At 41.4% G+C, this 13,945-nt stretch overlaps 1 protein-coding gene across 1 annotated transcript in view; it reads left to right on the top strand.

The window, feature by feature from the left end:
- The window catches only part of HEATR6 (HEAT repeat containing 6), a 37,914-nt gene that overhangs the window by 20,197 nt on the left and 3,772 nt on the right, over positions 1–13,945 (top strand). Inside the window, exons 12-19 of the mRNA NM_022070.5 lie at positions 1,322–1,677; positions 2,488–2,610; positions 3,124–3,210; positions 7,748–7,882; positions 9,023–9,145; positions 10,337–10,461; positions 11,320–11,416; positions 12,496–12,700. Coding sequence (NP_071353.4) covers positions 1,322–1,677; positions 2,488–2,610; positions 3,124–3,210; positions 7,748–7,882; positions 9,023–9,145; positions 10,337–10,461; positions 11,320–11,416; positions 12,496–12,700 — 1,251 coding nt within the window. The remainder of the gene's footprint in view (positions 1–1,321; positions 1,678–2,487; positions 2,611–3,123; positions 3,211–7,747; positions 7,883–9,022; positions 9,146–10,336; positions 10,462–11,319; positions 11,417–12,495; positions 12,701–13,945) is intronic.

Raw genomic sequence — 13,945 nt, 5'->3', positions numbered from 1 at the left:
GGATCCCACTCCCATTTTTGCCATCTCATGGCCATGACCCTCTCTGAACCCTAATTTCTTCCTAACAGCAAGAATTATAACTACATCATAAGATTTTTATGAGGCTCAAATGAGATAATGAGATGTAACTAAGTCCAGTTCACTACTTACACTAATATGTAAAAAAGGGACCCAGAAAGATAAGTCTTACCCTAAGGTTTCCCATCACATTCATGGCAGAAATAAGATGAGAACAACCCCTGCTCATTCCACTGTACCAACTTTTCATTATCTGCATCTTCAGCTGAGGAGAGTGCACCATGCCTCAAAGTTTCCTTTCAAGTATCTGACTTTATCCTCAAGTAACTTTTTTTCATTAAAATGTTCAAACCCTGAAATTCTTAGGTATGAGCCTAACAAAATATGTACAAGATCTATATGAAGAAAACTGTGAAACTCTGATCAAATAAAGAACTAAATGAATGGACAGAGATTCCATATTCCTGGATAGGAAGGCTCAATATTGTGAAGATGTTACTTCTTCCCAACTTGATCTATAGATTCAGTGCAGTCTCAATCAAAATTCCAGCAAGTTATTTTGCAGATATCAATGAACTGATTCTGAAATATATATGGATATGCAAAAGACCTGGAATAGCCAACACAATATTGATAGAGAAGAACAAAACTGAAGGACTGACATTCCCTGACCTCAAAATCTACTATAAAACTACAGTAATTAAGACAGTGTGATACTGGCCAAGGAAGAGACAAACAGATCAATGGAACAGAATAGAGAGCCCAGAAATAGACCCACATAAATATAGTCAACTGATCTACAACAAAGGAGCAGATACTTTTCAACAATTGGTGCTGGAACAGCTGGACATCACATGCAAAAAAAAAAATGAGTCTAGACACAGACCTTTTAGCTTTTTAAAAATATTTCTTGTTAAAATCCGGGGTTCATTCAAGGTACATGCATTGCATTTAGTTATTATGTCACTGTAGTCTTTTTAAATGTAGAGTCCCCCCACCCATCTTTTTTATATCAAACTGACTTAGGAAAGAATCCAACCCAATTGTCTTATAGAATGTGAACTCTAAGCTCTGTCACCAAAGATAACAAAATAAATCACATTCTCAATTTGTCAGATTGTTTCTTTATGGTGTTAACTTACTCTCCTGTCCCATGTATTTCCAAACTGGAAATGAGGTCTAGAAGTTTGATTAGATTCAGGTTACACAAGGAACTACTAATTTTTAATTGCCTGCTGGGATAACTACCATCTTTACAGTAGTTGTTGCCATGATGATAAGTTCTTACTGCTTCCTTTGACAGATGTTAATGTTCGTGTGTCAAGTCTCACACTCTTGGGAGCTATAGTGTCCACCCACGCACCTTTACCTGAAGTCCAACTACTTCTGCAACAGCCATGTTCTTCTGGACTCGGTAATAGCAATTCAGCAACCCCTCACCTCAGCCCTCCTGATTGGTGGAAGAAAGCCCCTGCAGGACCCTCTCTGGAAGAAACGTCAGTTAGCTCACCTAAGGGGTCTTCAGAGCCCTGCTGGCTCATTCGACTCTGCATTTCCATTGTCGTACTGCCCAAGGAGGATTCCTGTTCAGGTAGCGATGCTGGCTCTGCAGCAGGAAGCACCTACGAACCATCCCCCATGCGACTGGAGGCCTTACAGGTAGGAGATTTCATTTCCTCATCTCTGAAATGGAAGTAACCATTCCTCCTTCAGAGTGACTGTGAGGAGCGAGCAGGTAAAACCAAGCCATATGTCAATTGTGTTCGTGGGAATTGTATTTTAGGTATGGGTGGTGTATTGTTTTGTTGTTGTTTTGTTTTGGGGAGGTGTTCTTTGGTTGTAAAATAGCAGATTCATTCCTTTTTGTTCTTTGATTGCAAATTATTTTAGTCCCTTCAGGTATTATATGACAAGTGGATGTAATAGATTGTAGAATAATTCTGAGTGAAATTGTACAGTTAATTTTTGATTTTTGCAACTTAAATGTTTAATTCTCTATAAGCTTTTCCTTGGTCTTGTACCTGCTTAGAGTAACAAAATAATTGTTCCTTCAAAGGAAGAAAACAATCCTAGATAAAAGAGTTTACTTTTTCTATACAAATATGATCTGAGACTAGGCCTGGTCCTGAGGTCTGCTGCTGATTAACTGGGCAGCATGAAGCATGTCCTTTCATCTTGTCAGGCTTAGGTTCTTTAGTTGTAAAATTCAGTTAATACCTACTTTAAAGAATAGTTCCAAGACTTAAATGAGATTCTGTTAATGAAAAGCAATCATATACTAAAGCACCATAAAACTATGATACAGTTTATTGATGTTAGTCACAAAATAAAGATTATGGTTCTTAATTTCATTCAACAGATTTCAGCCCCTGTTAAATGTAAGCGATTTCTGAAATATTGTAACACTTTTCTGGATATTGCAGCCTTGCACTCAGGTCTTAGAGGGTTAATTCCATGCTCTCTTTGCAGGTATTGACTCTTCTGGCAAGGGGCTACTTTTCAATGACTCAAGCCTACTTGATGGAGCTTGGAGAGGTGATTTGCAAGTGCATGGGGGAAGCAGATCCATCCATTCAGCTTCATGGAGCAAAGGTAATTTTCATCAAAACCACAATGCTTTTTCCTTCTCTTCACTTTATATCCTTCCTTTTCTTCACTTTATATCCTTCCTTTTCTTCACTTTATATTCTTCTGCCACATGTCCTTCAATTCTGAGATTTCTTAAAGAGATTTCAGGTAAGGAGGACATGCATTCTTCTGTTTTCGGCTCTTACATATAAACCCCACGCATTGACTCAGTAACAAATTAATAAGATATAGCTGTTGATTTCAGTCCTTGAAAGAATGCCTCTGTTAACAGTGACTGAAAAAAGAAAGAAAATTAGTTGCAAATTATGTTTCCCCTTGATTTGAGGCGATCTCCAAACTCAAGTGAAGGTGTTACTAAAGTGAAGGTGTTACTAGAGTGAAGGTGTCACTCGAGTGAAGGTGTTACTCGAGTGGAGGTGTTACTAGAGTGAAGGTGTTACTAGAGTGAAGGTGTTACTCAAGTGAAGTCATTCATTAGTTCTGATGCTCCACTTCGGTAATTCTTTTTCTTGGCAGCTTCTGGAAGAACTGGGCACAGGCTTAATACAGCAGTATAAACCAGACTCCACTGCAGCACCTGATCAGAGAGCACCAGTCTTCTTGGTAAATAAATGTCAATTCATAGTTTTCTTTTATTAATGCTTCAGTTGCAGTTTTATTTTGAAGCTCAGTGATAAATGGAGTAGATGATATGGTTTCTTCCAGTGTCAAAAATTATGTTTTATAATCCAGGAAAACATGAAACTAGTATAAATTGGTTTTATTTTACATTTCAGTTTATTTGCAGTTTAGTTTGTGGTAGGCTTATGTATAACATATAACCAGCAATAGTAAAACTAATATTTCTTTTGCATAAAACCTAGTTTTTTATGCAAAAGAGGTTTATCTGGCTCACAGTTCTGCAGGCTGTACAAAAAGCATGGTGCCAGCATCTACCTCTGAGGAAGCCCCAGGAAGCTTTAAATCCTGGTGGAAGGCAAAGGGGGAGCAGGCATGTCATATGGCAAGAGAGTAAGCAAGAGGGAGATGCCAGGCTCTTTTAAACAACCAGCTCTCGTATGAGCTCATAGAGTGAGAGTTCACTCATTACCACAAGGACAGCACCAAGCCATTCAAGAGGGATCCACCCCCATGACCCAAACACTTCCTATTAGGCCCACCTCCAGTGTTAGAGGTCACATTTCAGCATGAGGTTTGAGGAGGCACACATCCAAACCATATCATTCTGCCTCTGGCCACCACAAATCTCATGTTCCTCTCACTGTAAAATACAGTCACCTCCTCCCAATAGTTCCCCAAAGTCTTAACTCTTTACGGCATCACTCAAAAGTTCAAAGTCTCAGCTGTGACTCAAGGCAAGTTCCTTCCACCTATGAGCCTGTAAGATCAAAAACAAGTTACTGATTTTTAAGATACAATGGTGGTACAGGCATTGGGTAAACAGTCCCATTCCAACAGGGAGAAATCAGCCAAAAGAAAGGGGCAACAAGCCCCACACAAATCCAAAACCCAGCAGGACAGACATTAAACCTTAAAGCTCCAAAATAGTCCTTGACTCCATGTCCCGCATCCAGTGCACACTGGTGCAAGGGGTGGGCTTCCAAGGCTTCTGGCAGCCTTGCCCTTCTGGCTTTGCTAGGTGTAGGCTGTGTCCCATTCCCAGAGTTCCACTAGGCAGTGCTCAGTGGAGACCGTGTGTAGGGGCTCCAACCTCACATCTCTCTTTGGCACTGCCCTAGTAGAGGCTCTCAGTGGGGGCTCTGTCCCTGTGGCAGGCTTCTGCATGGGCACCCAGGCTTAGGGAATCCTCTGAAATCTAGGTGGAAGCTCCCAAGCCTTCTTCGCATTTGAATTCTGTGCATCTGCAGGCTTAACACCACATGGAAACTGCTAAGGCTTACAGCCTGTACCCACTAAGCAGAAAACCGAGCAGTATCTGGGGCCCTTTGAGCCAAGGCTGGGGATGCTGGGAGCAGTGCCCCAAGGCTGTGCAGGGAAGTGGGGCCCTGGGCCTGGCCTCCAAAACCACTTTCCTCCTAGGCCTCTGGGTGTGTGATGGGAGGGGTTGCCTCAAAGATTTCTAGAATGCCCTCCAGGCTGTTTTCCCGTAGTCTTGGCTGTTAGCACCTGGCTCCCTTTTAGTCGTGCTAATCTGTCTAGCAAGTGGTTGCTCCGAGCTTGGATTCCTTCTCTAGTACAGGGCCAGGGTGCAAGTTTTCCAAATTTTTATGCTCTGCTAACCTTGTAATGATAAGTTCCAACTTTAAGTCATTCCTTTACTCCTACATCCGACTATAGGTTGTGAGAAGCTGCCACATCACCTGTTGAATGATGCTTAGAATTTCTTTCACCAGATACCCTAAGTCATTACTCTTAAGTTCAACCTTATGCAAATCCCTAGGACATGGGCATAATGCAGCCAAGTTTGCTAAGGTGTAACAAAGGTGACCTTTCCTCCAGTTCTTCAAACTTTTTTATTTCTATCTGAGACCTCCTCAGCCTGGCTTTCACTCTCCATATTTCTATCAGCATTTCGGTCACAACCATTTAATCAGTCTCTAAGAAGTTCCAAACTTTCCTTTGTCTTCCTGTCTTCTGAGCCTTCCAAACTCTTTCAGCCTCTGCCCAGTACCAAGTTCCAAAGCTGCTTCCACATTTTTAGGTCTCTTTATAACAACACCCCATTCCTTGGTACCAATTTTCTGTATTAGTCTCTTTTCTGCTGCTGTAAAGAAATGCCTCAGACTGGACAATTTATTTTTCAAAGAGGTTCGTCTGGCTCACAGTTCTGCAGGCTATACGAGAAGCATGGTGCCAGCATCTAGTTCTGGTGAGACCTCCGGAAGCTTCCAGTCATGGTGGAAGGCGAAGGGGGAGTAGGTGTGTCACATGGCGAGAGAGGAAGCAAGAGATGCCAGGCTCTTTTAAACAATTAGCTCTCGTGTGAATAACAGAGTAAGAACTCATTTATTACCACAAGGATAGCACCAAGCCATTCAGTAGGGATCTGCCTGCATCACCCAAAAACCTTCCTCTAGGCCCACCTCCAACATTGGAGGTCACATGTCAACATGAGATTTGGAGGGGACACACATCCAAACCATATCAGCCACTTAATGGATATGTGGTTATAGGCATGGTTTCCTAGTTGTAAAAAAGGAATAATAAACCATAACCCTTCAGTCACAAGGCTGTTGAAAAATCAAATGACATGTAAAGATGCTAACACATAGGAGGTAATTCCGTTACCCGTGTCCCCGCCGCCCCTCACCAGCCCCTCCACGATTCTATTCAATTCCTGTGATTTCAGGTTGTTTCTGCTACCCCTACACTGTGCCAGTTCCAAAGATGGATGAAGGGCATGTGACCACACCAAAAAAGGCTTCTACTTAGTGCTAAAAGCAAAATTAGCTCAGTGTTGGTGGTCTTTGCTCCCTCTGCCCTTTGCATTCTGCCTATTCTTTTCCCTTCACAATTTCTGTCATCCTTGCAGTGAATTAAAGATTCTAACCCTAGTCCCTGCCTTAGAATGCCACTAAAGCTTTCATATAACATGTGCAGGGAAGTGAGTTGAGCTTTGTTATCAGACAGAACTAGGTTTGAATTCAAACTTCTCCCTTTGCTAGATAGATGACTTTGGGCAAGCCTCTTAACTGTTCACACTCAGGTAGTGTTCATCTGTGAAAAAAAAAAGTCATGTTTTCTACATTGCTTGTCTATTAATGAGTAACAAATTAAGCATTTAGCAGCTTAAAGCAATGTACATTTATTTTCTCACAGTTTCTGTGGGTCAGGAATTAGGAGTGGCTTGGCTGAGTGATTCTGGCTTAGTTCTCACATGAGGTTGGGATCAAGATGCCCCCAGGGTTGCAGTCAACTGACGGGTTGCAAGACTTGATGGGGTTGGAGGATCCTCTTCCAGGGTGGCTCACCCATAGACCTAGCAAATTAGTGTTGGCTGCTGGCAGAAGGCCTCAACTCATTTCCTCCCCATGAGGACATCTCCAGAGGGCTGCTTGAGTATCCTCTTGACATGGCAGCCAGCTTCCTTCACAGCAAGTGATCCAAGGGAAAGAAAGCAAGACAGAGCTGTGGTGCTTTTTATGACCTAGCTTTGGAGGTTTCGTGCTGTCATTTCCACAACAATCCTATTGGTTACACAGGTCAGCCTGTTCAGTATGGGAGGGGACTACACAAGGGTGTAAATATTAGTAGGTGACTGTAATTGTGTGCCATCCTGGAGACTGGCAACCACTTTTTGTCCACATTCTTCTGGAGTGGGGCAGGGAGGACCCAGACTGGGTTTCCAGGAGCTGAAGTAGGAGAAAGACAGAACTGGTGCATGACATACACAGCAAAACCCAGGACTAGGTCCATGGAACAGAAATAAAACATACCAAAACCACAGAGATTCACAAATGAACATGAAATCACAGGATATGTATAAAGCATGGAAAAGAAACTGTTGACATGGCTACTTTAGAGGCTGTGAAGTGAGGTAGTTCTTCAAAGTGCTGAAAACAGAACCGACTGCCCAATTTAAGAGTGTCCACTGTGTACCAGGCCCTGCACTAGAAACCTTACACAGAATATTACATTTTATTATCACACAGACTCTGCAAAGTAGTTGAAAAAGCCCTAGCCGACTGTCAACTGATTTGGATTCTAGTTCACCCCTGCTGCAGATTAGCAAGTTGTATTGTCTCTTTGTGCCTCAGTTTCCTTGTGTGAAAAAGTAGGAATAATGCTACAGACCCCATTTATTTGTGCCAAGGAATAAAATAAGTTGATACTTGTAAAATACTTAGAGCAATGCCTGGCATGGCATGAGCTCTCTGAAGAACATTAGCTGCCGCTGCTGTTGCTGTTACTGTCATCATCATCTTCAGCCTCCTCTTGATTATTATCACTGTTGCTGCGTAACTTTATCAGACCGCAGTCTCCTAATCAACAGGAGTTGAACGGGAGGCTTAAACCAAAGTCCTTACATCACTGTGGAAGAAGAACCAATGAAAACACTTACAGAAAGCTGCTACTTTAAGGGAAAATGTTTCACTAAGGCCATTTCTGGTAGGCTTAGCTCCAAGTTGGTTCCCCTGTTATGTCTTGGGCTGCAGCTTTTACTTTGCCTCCGTTCCAGGTGGTGATGTTCTGGACTATGATGCTGAACGGTCCTTTACCCAGAGCCCTGCAGAATTCAGAACACCCAACTCTCCAGGCGAGCGCCTGTGATGCCCTGTCTTCCATCTTGCCAGAGGCCTTCAGCAATCTGCCGGTAATGTGAGGGTGTTTTCTCACCCTTAAATCATGGCTGGAGCACCAGAGCTAGAATTTGATGCTTTTGCATTTTGAACCAGTATTCAGCATCATCTCTGATGAAAAGGCGCTAGTTCTACTTGAGTTGGGGATGAGGGCACTGGGGAACAGCAAATAGGAAAACTTGAAGCCTTAATATATCAGGAAAGCTGTTTCCCCCTGTGCATGAGAGTGTAGGTGGTAGAGGCAAGGGTAGAAGAAGCTTGGAAGGCAGAGAGATTTCAGGAAGATTTCATATCCAAAGTTTAAAAGGCCTGAGTTAAAGCCCAGCTCTTCGACTTGCTAGCTGACTCTTAACCTCTCTAAGACTTGGTATTATCATCAATAAGATGGTAGTCATGTGAAAAATAACAAGTATGTGAAAATACTTAGATTTGTTGTCCAACACATATGGTATTTGTCTTAGTCTGTTTGAGCTGTTATAATAAAATACCATAAATTGGGTGTCTTCTAAACAACAGAAATGTATTTCTCATAGTTCTGGAGGCTGGAATTAAGATCAAGTCACTGACAGACACAGATTTGGTGCCTTGGGAGGGTTCGCTCTCTGGCTCACAGATGGCACCATGTGAGCTGTGTCCTCAGGTGGTGGAAGGGGCAGGCAGCTTTCTGGGGCCTCAATCATAAGGGCACTAATCTCTTTCATGAGGGCTCTGTTCCCATGACCTCATCTCCTTCCCAAAGCCCCACCTCCTGATACCATCATCCTGGGAGTGAAGATTTCAACATAGGAATTTTGGGGGAGCATAAGCATTCAGAATACTGCTATTCAGAATAGCAGTATTCAGACTGCTTTTTTTCTTTGGTCCTCAGTGACATTTGCCTCCATTCTTATTTACATAAATGAGCTTCTATAAAGAAGGCAACTTTAATAAAGGTTAAATGTGATGAGATGCTGTGTGTGTCTTGCACAAAGTGGGTGCTCAGATAATTATGGAATCTGAATTGAACCTGCTTTTTACCAGGGTAGCCTCAAGGTCGCAATGGTGTTCAACTCCTGATTATGGTCTCAGACACAGATATTTCACATCTTTTATGGAAGCCTTTGGCTTGTAGTTATTTCATTCTCATTTTTCCCTTGTCAACCTTCTCATTGCAGAATGACAGGCAGATGCTGTGCATCACAGTGCTGCTCGGGCTGAATGACAGCAAGAATCGCTTAGTGAAAGCTGCAACTTCACGGGCCCTGGGAGTCTATGTGCTTTTTCCCTGTCTCAGACAGGTCAGAGTGAGCCTATTTAGCTCTTCTGTGCCCCTTTTGTAGTCCATGACACCCCTATTTTGTGGATATAGAGCTCCTGCATTGGATGGTAAAGGAAACTAAATTGCTTTGTAATCTGATATCTGTAATTGCTACTAAAATATGGTCATGGGCCAGGCATGGTGGCTCATGCCTGTAATCCCAGCACTTTGGGAGGCCAAGGCGGGTGGATTGCTTGAGCTCAGGAGTTTGAGACCAGCCTGGGCAACTTGGCAAAACCCTGTCTCTACAAAAAATTTTAAAAATTAGCCAGGCATGGTGGTATGCACCTGTAGTCCCAGCTACTTGGGAGGCTGAGATGGGAGGCTCACTTGAGCCTGGGATGTGAAGGTTGTAATGAGCAGAGATCATACCACTGCACTCCAGCCTGGGTGGCAGAGCCAGACACACACACACACACACACACACACACACACACTCTCTGTCTCTCTCTCTCTCTACATATATATATGTAGTGTTATACATAAATATATATATAACTACAGGCATTACCATATATATAAATGAACTAAGGCATTACCATATATATATATATATATATATATATATATATATATTATATATATATGTTATTTATTTTTAATTTTTAATTACTTAGCACACAGCCTGGGACCTTAGGCACCCAATAAATGCTTAAATTAATGAATGATCTAATAAAAATGAAATGGGTCATTACCAGGTGGTAGTCATCATTTAGAAAGCTGACATAGTTTTTACTAAGAAGGAAATAATGTCCTCTTTCACTCTTACTTGTGACATTTATCTCACTGAGTGATGTGTAGTACATAGGATGTGTTTTGGAAATGCATTTCTTTTTCAGAACATTATTTCCCGAGACGGAAATCAACCAAGCACAGAATTCACAGATAACTGTCCCAGGCCAGCTTATATATTCGATGTTCATAACAGCAAAATCCATAGGCTCCTCGGGTGTCCATGGCACATACCAAAATTATGGGAGCTTCCCCTGGGATTTTTTTGAGTGTCCAAATTGTAAAATATAAGAACAGTAAATTGATTGAGTAGATGAATTTTTATTTCTAAGTAGAAATGTGCATGAAGGCTTCTAGCTTTATCTGAAAATAAGTGAGAATTTCAAAGGTAGCAGCATGACCTGCTAAAGTAACTGCAGTGTTTTGTTTTGTGTTACAGGATGTCATATTTGTTGCAGACGCAGCAAATGCAATATTGATGTCACTTGAAGACAAGTCTCTGAATGTTCGAGCCAAAGCAGCCTGGTCCCTGGGCAACCTGACAGACACTCTGATTGTCAACATGTAGGTGACTGAGCTTGCTTTCCCCAGCTGACTTCTGAGATTGAGGGCCCAAGAGAATGTCCTCGATCTCTACCATGAAAGAATCAGCAGTAGTTCCCGCATATTATGCAGTCAGTCTTCCTGCTTTTTTTGTTTGATATTCCTTCAGAAAATAAAATTAATAAACTGTTCTTAATATATATTAGGAATGCATTAAGATATATATGTATTAAAAATACTGTATGCCGATATAAGTAATATGTCTACATTATAGAAAACATAAAAGCAAAACCTTAGTAATGGTTACTGTACTTTTAAAATGCATTTAAAAAAATTTCTTAAAGTAGTATATTCACAGGCTAAAAAAAATCCAGATAGTACAAAGCAGCATTCAGTGTGAAGCCTTTCTTCTACCCTGACACCTTAGTTCCCCTCCCCAGAGGTAGCTGGTTATTCATGTGCACGTGTCCTGCTTTTTGTCACTTCAGCGTATAAGCAACATGTAAAATGTGTAAGCATTCTATTATTGACTTGTTAGAAATCCTTATTTATGATTACATAATTATCACTGTGTGATGATTAACCATTTTTCTATTACTGAACATTTGTTTTAGTCTTTAGGCTTGTAGGCTTTTATATTCAGGGAATATTTTTGTGCATGAAATCTGCATTTTGAGATTTTTTTTTTTTTGAGACATTCCTATGTGGGGAACTATTGGGTCAAAAGATATATAATGTAAGTTTCTTGATATAATCTAAGCAGATTTGTTAAACTGTTTTCCTAAACTTTTAGGCTTATACTAATTGAATATATTTCTATATGTATATATTTAAGTGTATTTACCTTTTAACATGTGTTGTCTGCTTTGGGTGGAACAGGGAAACACCAGACCCAAGTTTCCAGGAAGAGTTCTCTGGTCTCCTGCTCTTGAAAATGTTACGATCAGCTATAGAAGCATCCAAGGATAAAGACAAGGTAGACTCACAACAAAACCCAGTATCTCCCAAACAGATAGTTAATGTATTGTAGCTGCAGTGTGGTAGTTCAGTGTGGCTTGATGTTCCTCAGACTGTCCCACCAAATGTACTCCTGTTCAAAAGAGACTGAGGGTGTGCTCAGGGTATAAATGGCCCATTCCACACGTGTATGGTTTCTTTACTGTCTCCTGCCTCCTGAAAAATATCAGTGCCCATTGTAATACTACATGACATATTCAGATTCCTTTTAAAATTAACTTTTTTTTATTTTCCAAAAAAAAAAAATTGACAAGTCAGAAAGATGAGTAGCTCTTGGCTTTGAATATTACCTGTTAAACTAATAAGTTTAAAAAGCACATGTCTGGGCTTTAGGTCAGACATACATGGATTCAAGCCCTGGCTCGCCCTTTAGTAACTGGGTAAGTTTGGTATATTACATAACTTCTCTGAAGGTCAGCTCCTCACATGTAACATGGAAGTTATATACCTCACTGGATATGAAGATGCCTTATGTTAAAGCACCTAGCACAGTACCTGACCCATACCATGTGCTCACTTTAATACTACTTCTGAAAATCTGGTAATCACCCAGGAAGCCCTACCTCAGAGTAATTCAATCAGAAATTCTGAGGTTAGGGCCTCCGAATCGGTTTTAAAACAAAAGGAGAAACCTCCCCAAATGATTCTGATGGGCTGCAGAGGTTGAGACTCTAGTCTAGTAGAAAAGTATTGGACTGGAATTATGGAACCTAGCTTCTCCTCATTGTCTTGCTATCAATCAGCCTTGTCCTGTTGTTCCCGGTCCTTATACTCCATCTCAGTAAAACAAGGAAGATGGACCTCTCTGAGGTCCTGTCTAGCACTAAATAAAATAAATAAATAAATAATCAGAGAGAGGAGTTCTGTAGAACCTCACATTTCTGATGGCTCAGGATGTTAACCAGAGCAGACCTTGTGAGTTCCAAGGACTTGCTTTAAGAAGTTGAAGACCTCCTGGGTTTTTTTAAAGCTGAAATTAGACTTTTGGAAACATCTCTTTGGCCAAACAGATTTCTAAAGCATTTACATTTTTTCTAGGTAAAAAGCAATGCAGTCCGGGCCCTTGGAAATTTGCTTCATTTTCTGCAACCCTCTCATATAGAAAAACCCACATTTGCAGAAATCATTGAGGAGTCTATCCAGGCCCTAATTTCTACTGTTCTAACAGAAGCTGCCATGAAAGTCCGATGGAATGCTTGTTATGCAATGGGAAATGTATTTAAAAATCCTGCCCTTCCTTTAGGTAAGAAAGTTTCCCTTCACTCCCTGGTGGAAAGCCTCTTGGGACACACACCAATCTACGTTGTTGTTAAAGATGTTTGTCACATGTTATTTGTCATAGTATTAGGAAAAAATGGAGACATACTGAAGACAAGTTTAGGGGGACATTGAAATACATCATTACCTATACAATGGGATATATAATGGGATATTTTGTTGCCATTTAAAATTACTTACAAGAATTTGATAATCTGGAAAAATACTTCTGATGTTAAACAAATGAAAGCAGGTATTAAATAATTTCTACAGAATGATCTCAATAGATGGGTAGAAAAAAGACTGAAAGGAAATTGGACTAATTATTAACAGTGATTGCCTCTGGATGGGTAGGATTTTTTCTGTTTTCATTTTCTCAGTTGTCTACAATAAGCATATATTACTTTAATGGTCAAGAAAACAGGAAGGAAAAAAACTGGAATGAGAGGGAATATAAACTGGAAATCCCCTATGAGCTGTGTACAGAAGTGGATGCCATTAATAAATGTAAGGAGGGCATCTGTCTCTAAGTAGTGGCATGCCATGCACCTTGATATGTCATTCAGGACCAGTAGCTGCTTAGGTGTATGGATCGGAGCCTCCAAACCTCGCTCACTTTGAATGCCAGCGTTCGCTTTATTGCATCTCTCTCTCTCAGATCTGAGACCTAAGGATGTGTTCCTGGAGAGGAGAGCACACATCAAGTGAGGGGAGTCTGGCTCTGCTCCCCTTTATTGCCCAGAGCGTCCAGGCAGACCAGTCAGCTGGGAGTATGTAAGGTAGCTTCCCGGCTTCTTCCATTGAGGAAGTCACCTAAGGGTGACCTTTTGGGTTGGAGCCCATTGAGGTGGTTATCCGCCTTCTGGAGAGCCAAGAAGTCCTTGAAACCAGGGCACCTCAGTGGTGGTTGGCTCCTACCAGCCTTCCTGTATGGCCCTTGCCCTCAGCCTACTAGAGAGAGAAGTTTACCTGCATGACTTGGAGGGAAAGGGAAGCTCCAAAGAGGCAGGAAGTTTGAGAACTAGAAAGCATCCAGTAGCAGAGCTATCAAGAGCCACATAAGAAAAGGGAGCTAGAAACTGATAAAGGACTCTGACGGGTCGGATTGTGAGTGTCTCATAGCTCTAGCAGTGGCCCATTGTCAATGGCACTGGCATCCACCAAATGGAAAGGGCCTGCTTGCCGGTCTTCAGAGGCAACAGAGAAGCCAGGAAGGGCTGGGAGAGTTAAG

The sequence above is a fragment of the Homo sapiens genome, chromosome 17 (assembly GCF_000001405.40).
Source record: "Homo sapiens chromosome 17, GRCh38.p14 Primary Assembly".
Classification (NCBI taxonomy): domain Eukaryota; kingdom Metazoa; phylum Chordata; class Mammalia; order Primates; family Hominidae; genus Homo; species Homo sapiens.
The sequence above is the reverse complement of the archived record's forward strand: the minus strand, read 5'-3'. Positions and strand labels throughout refer to the sequence as shown.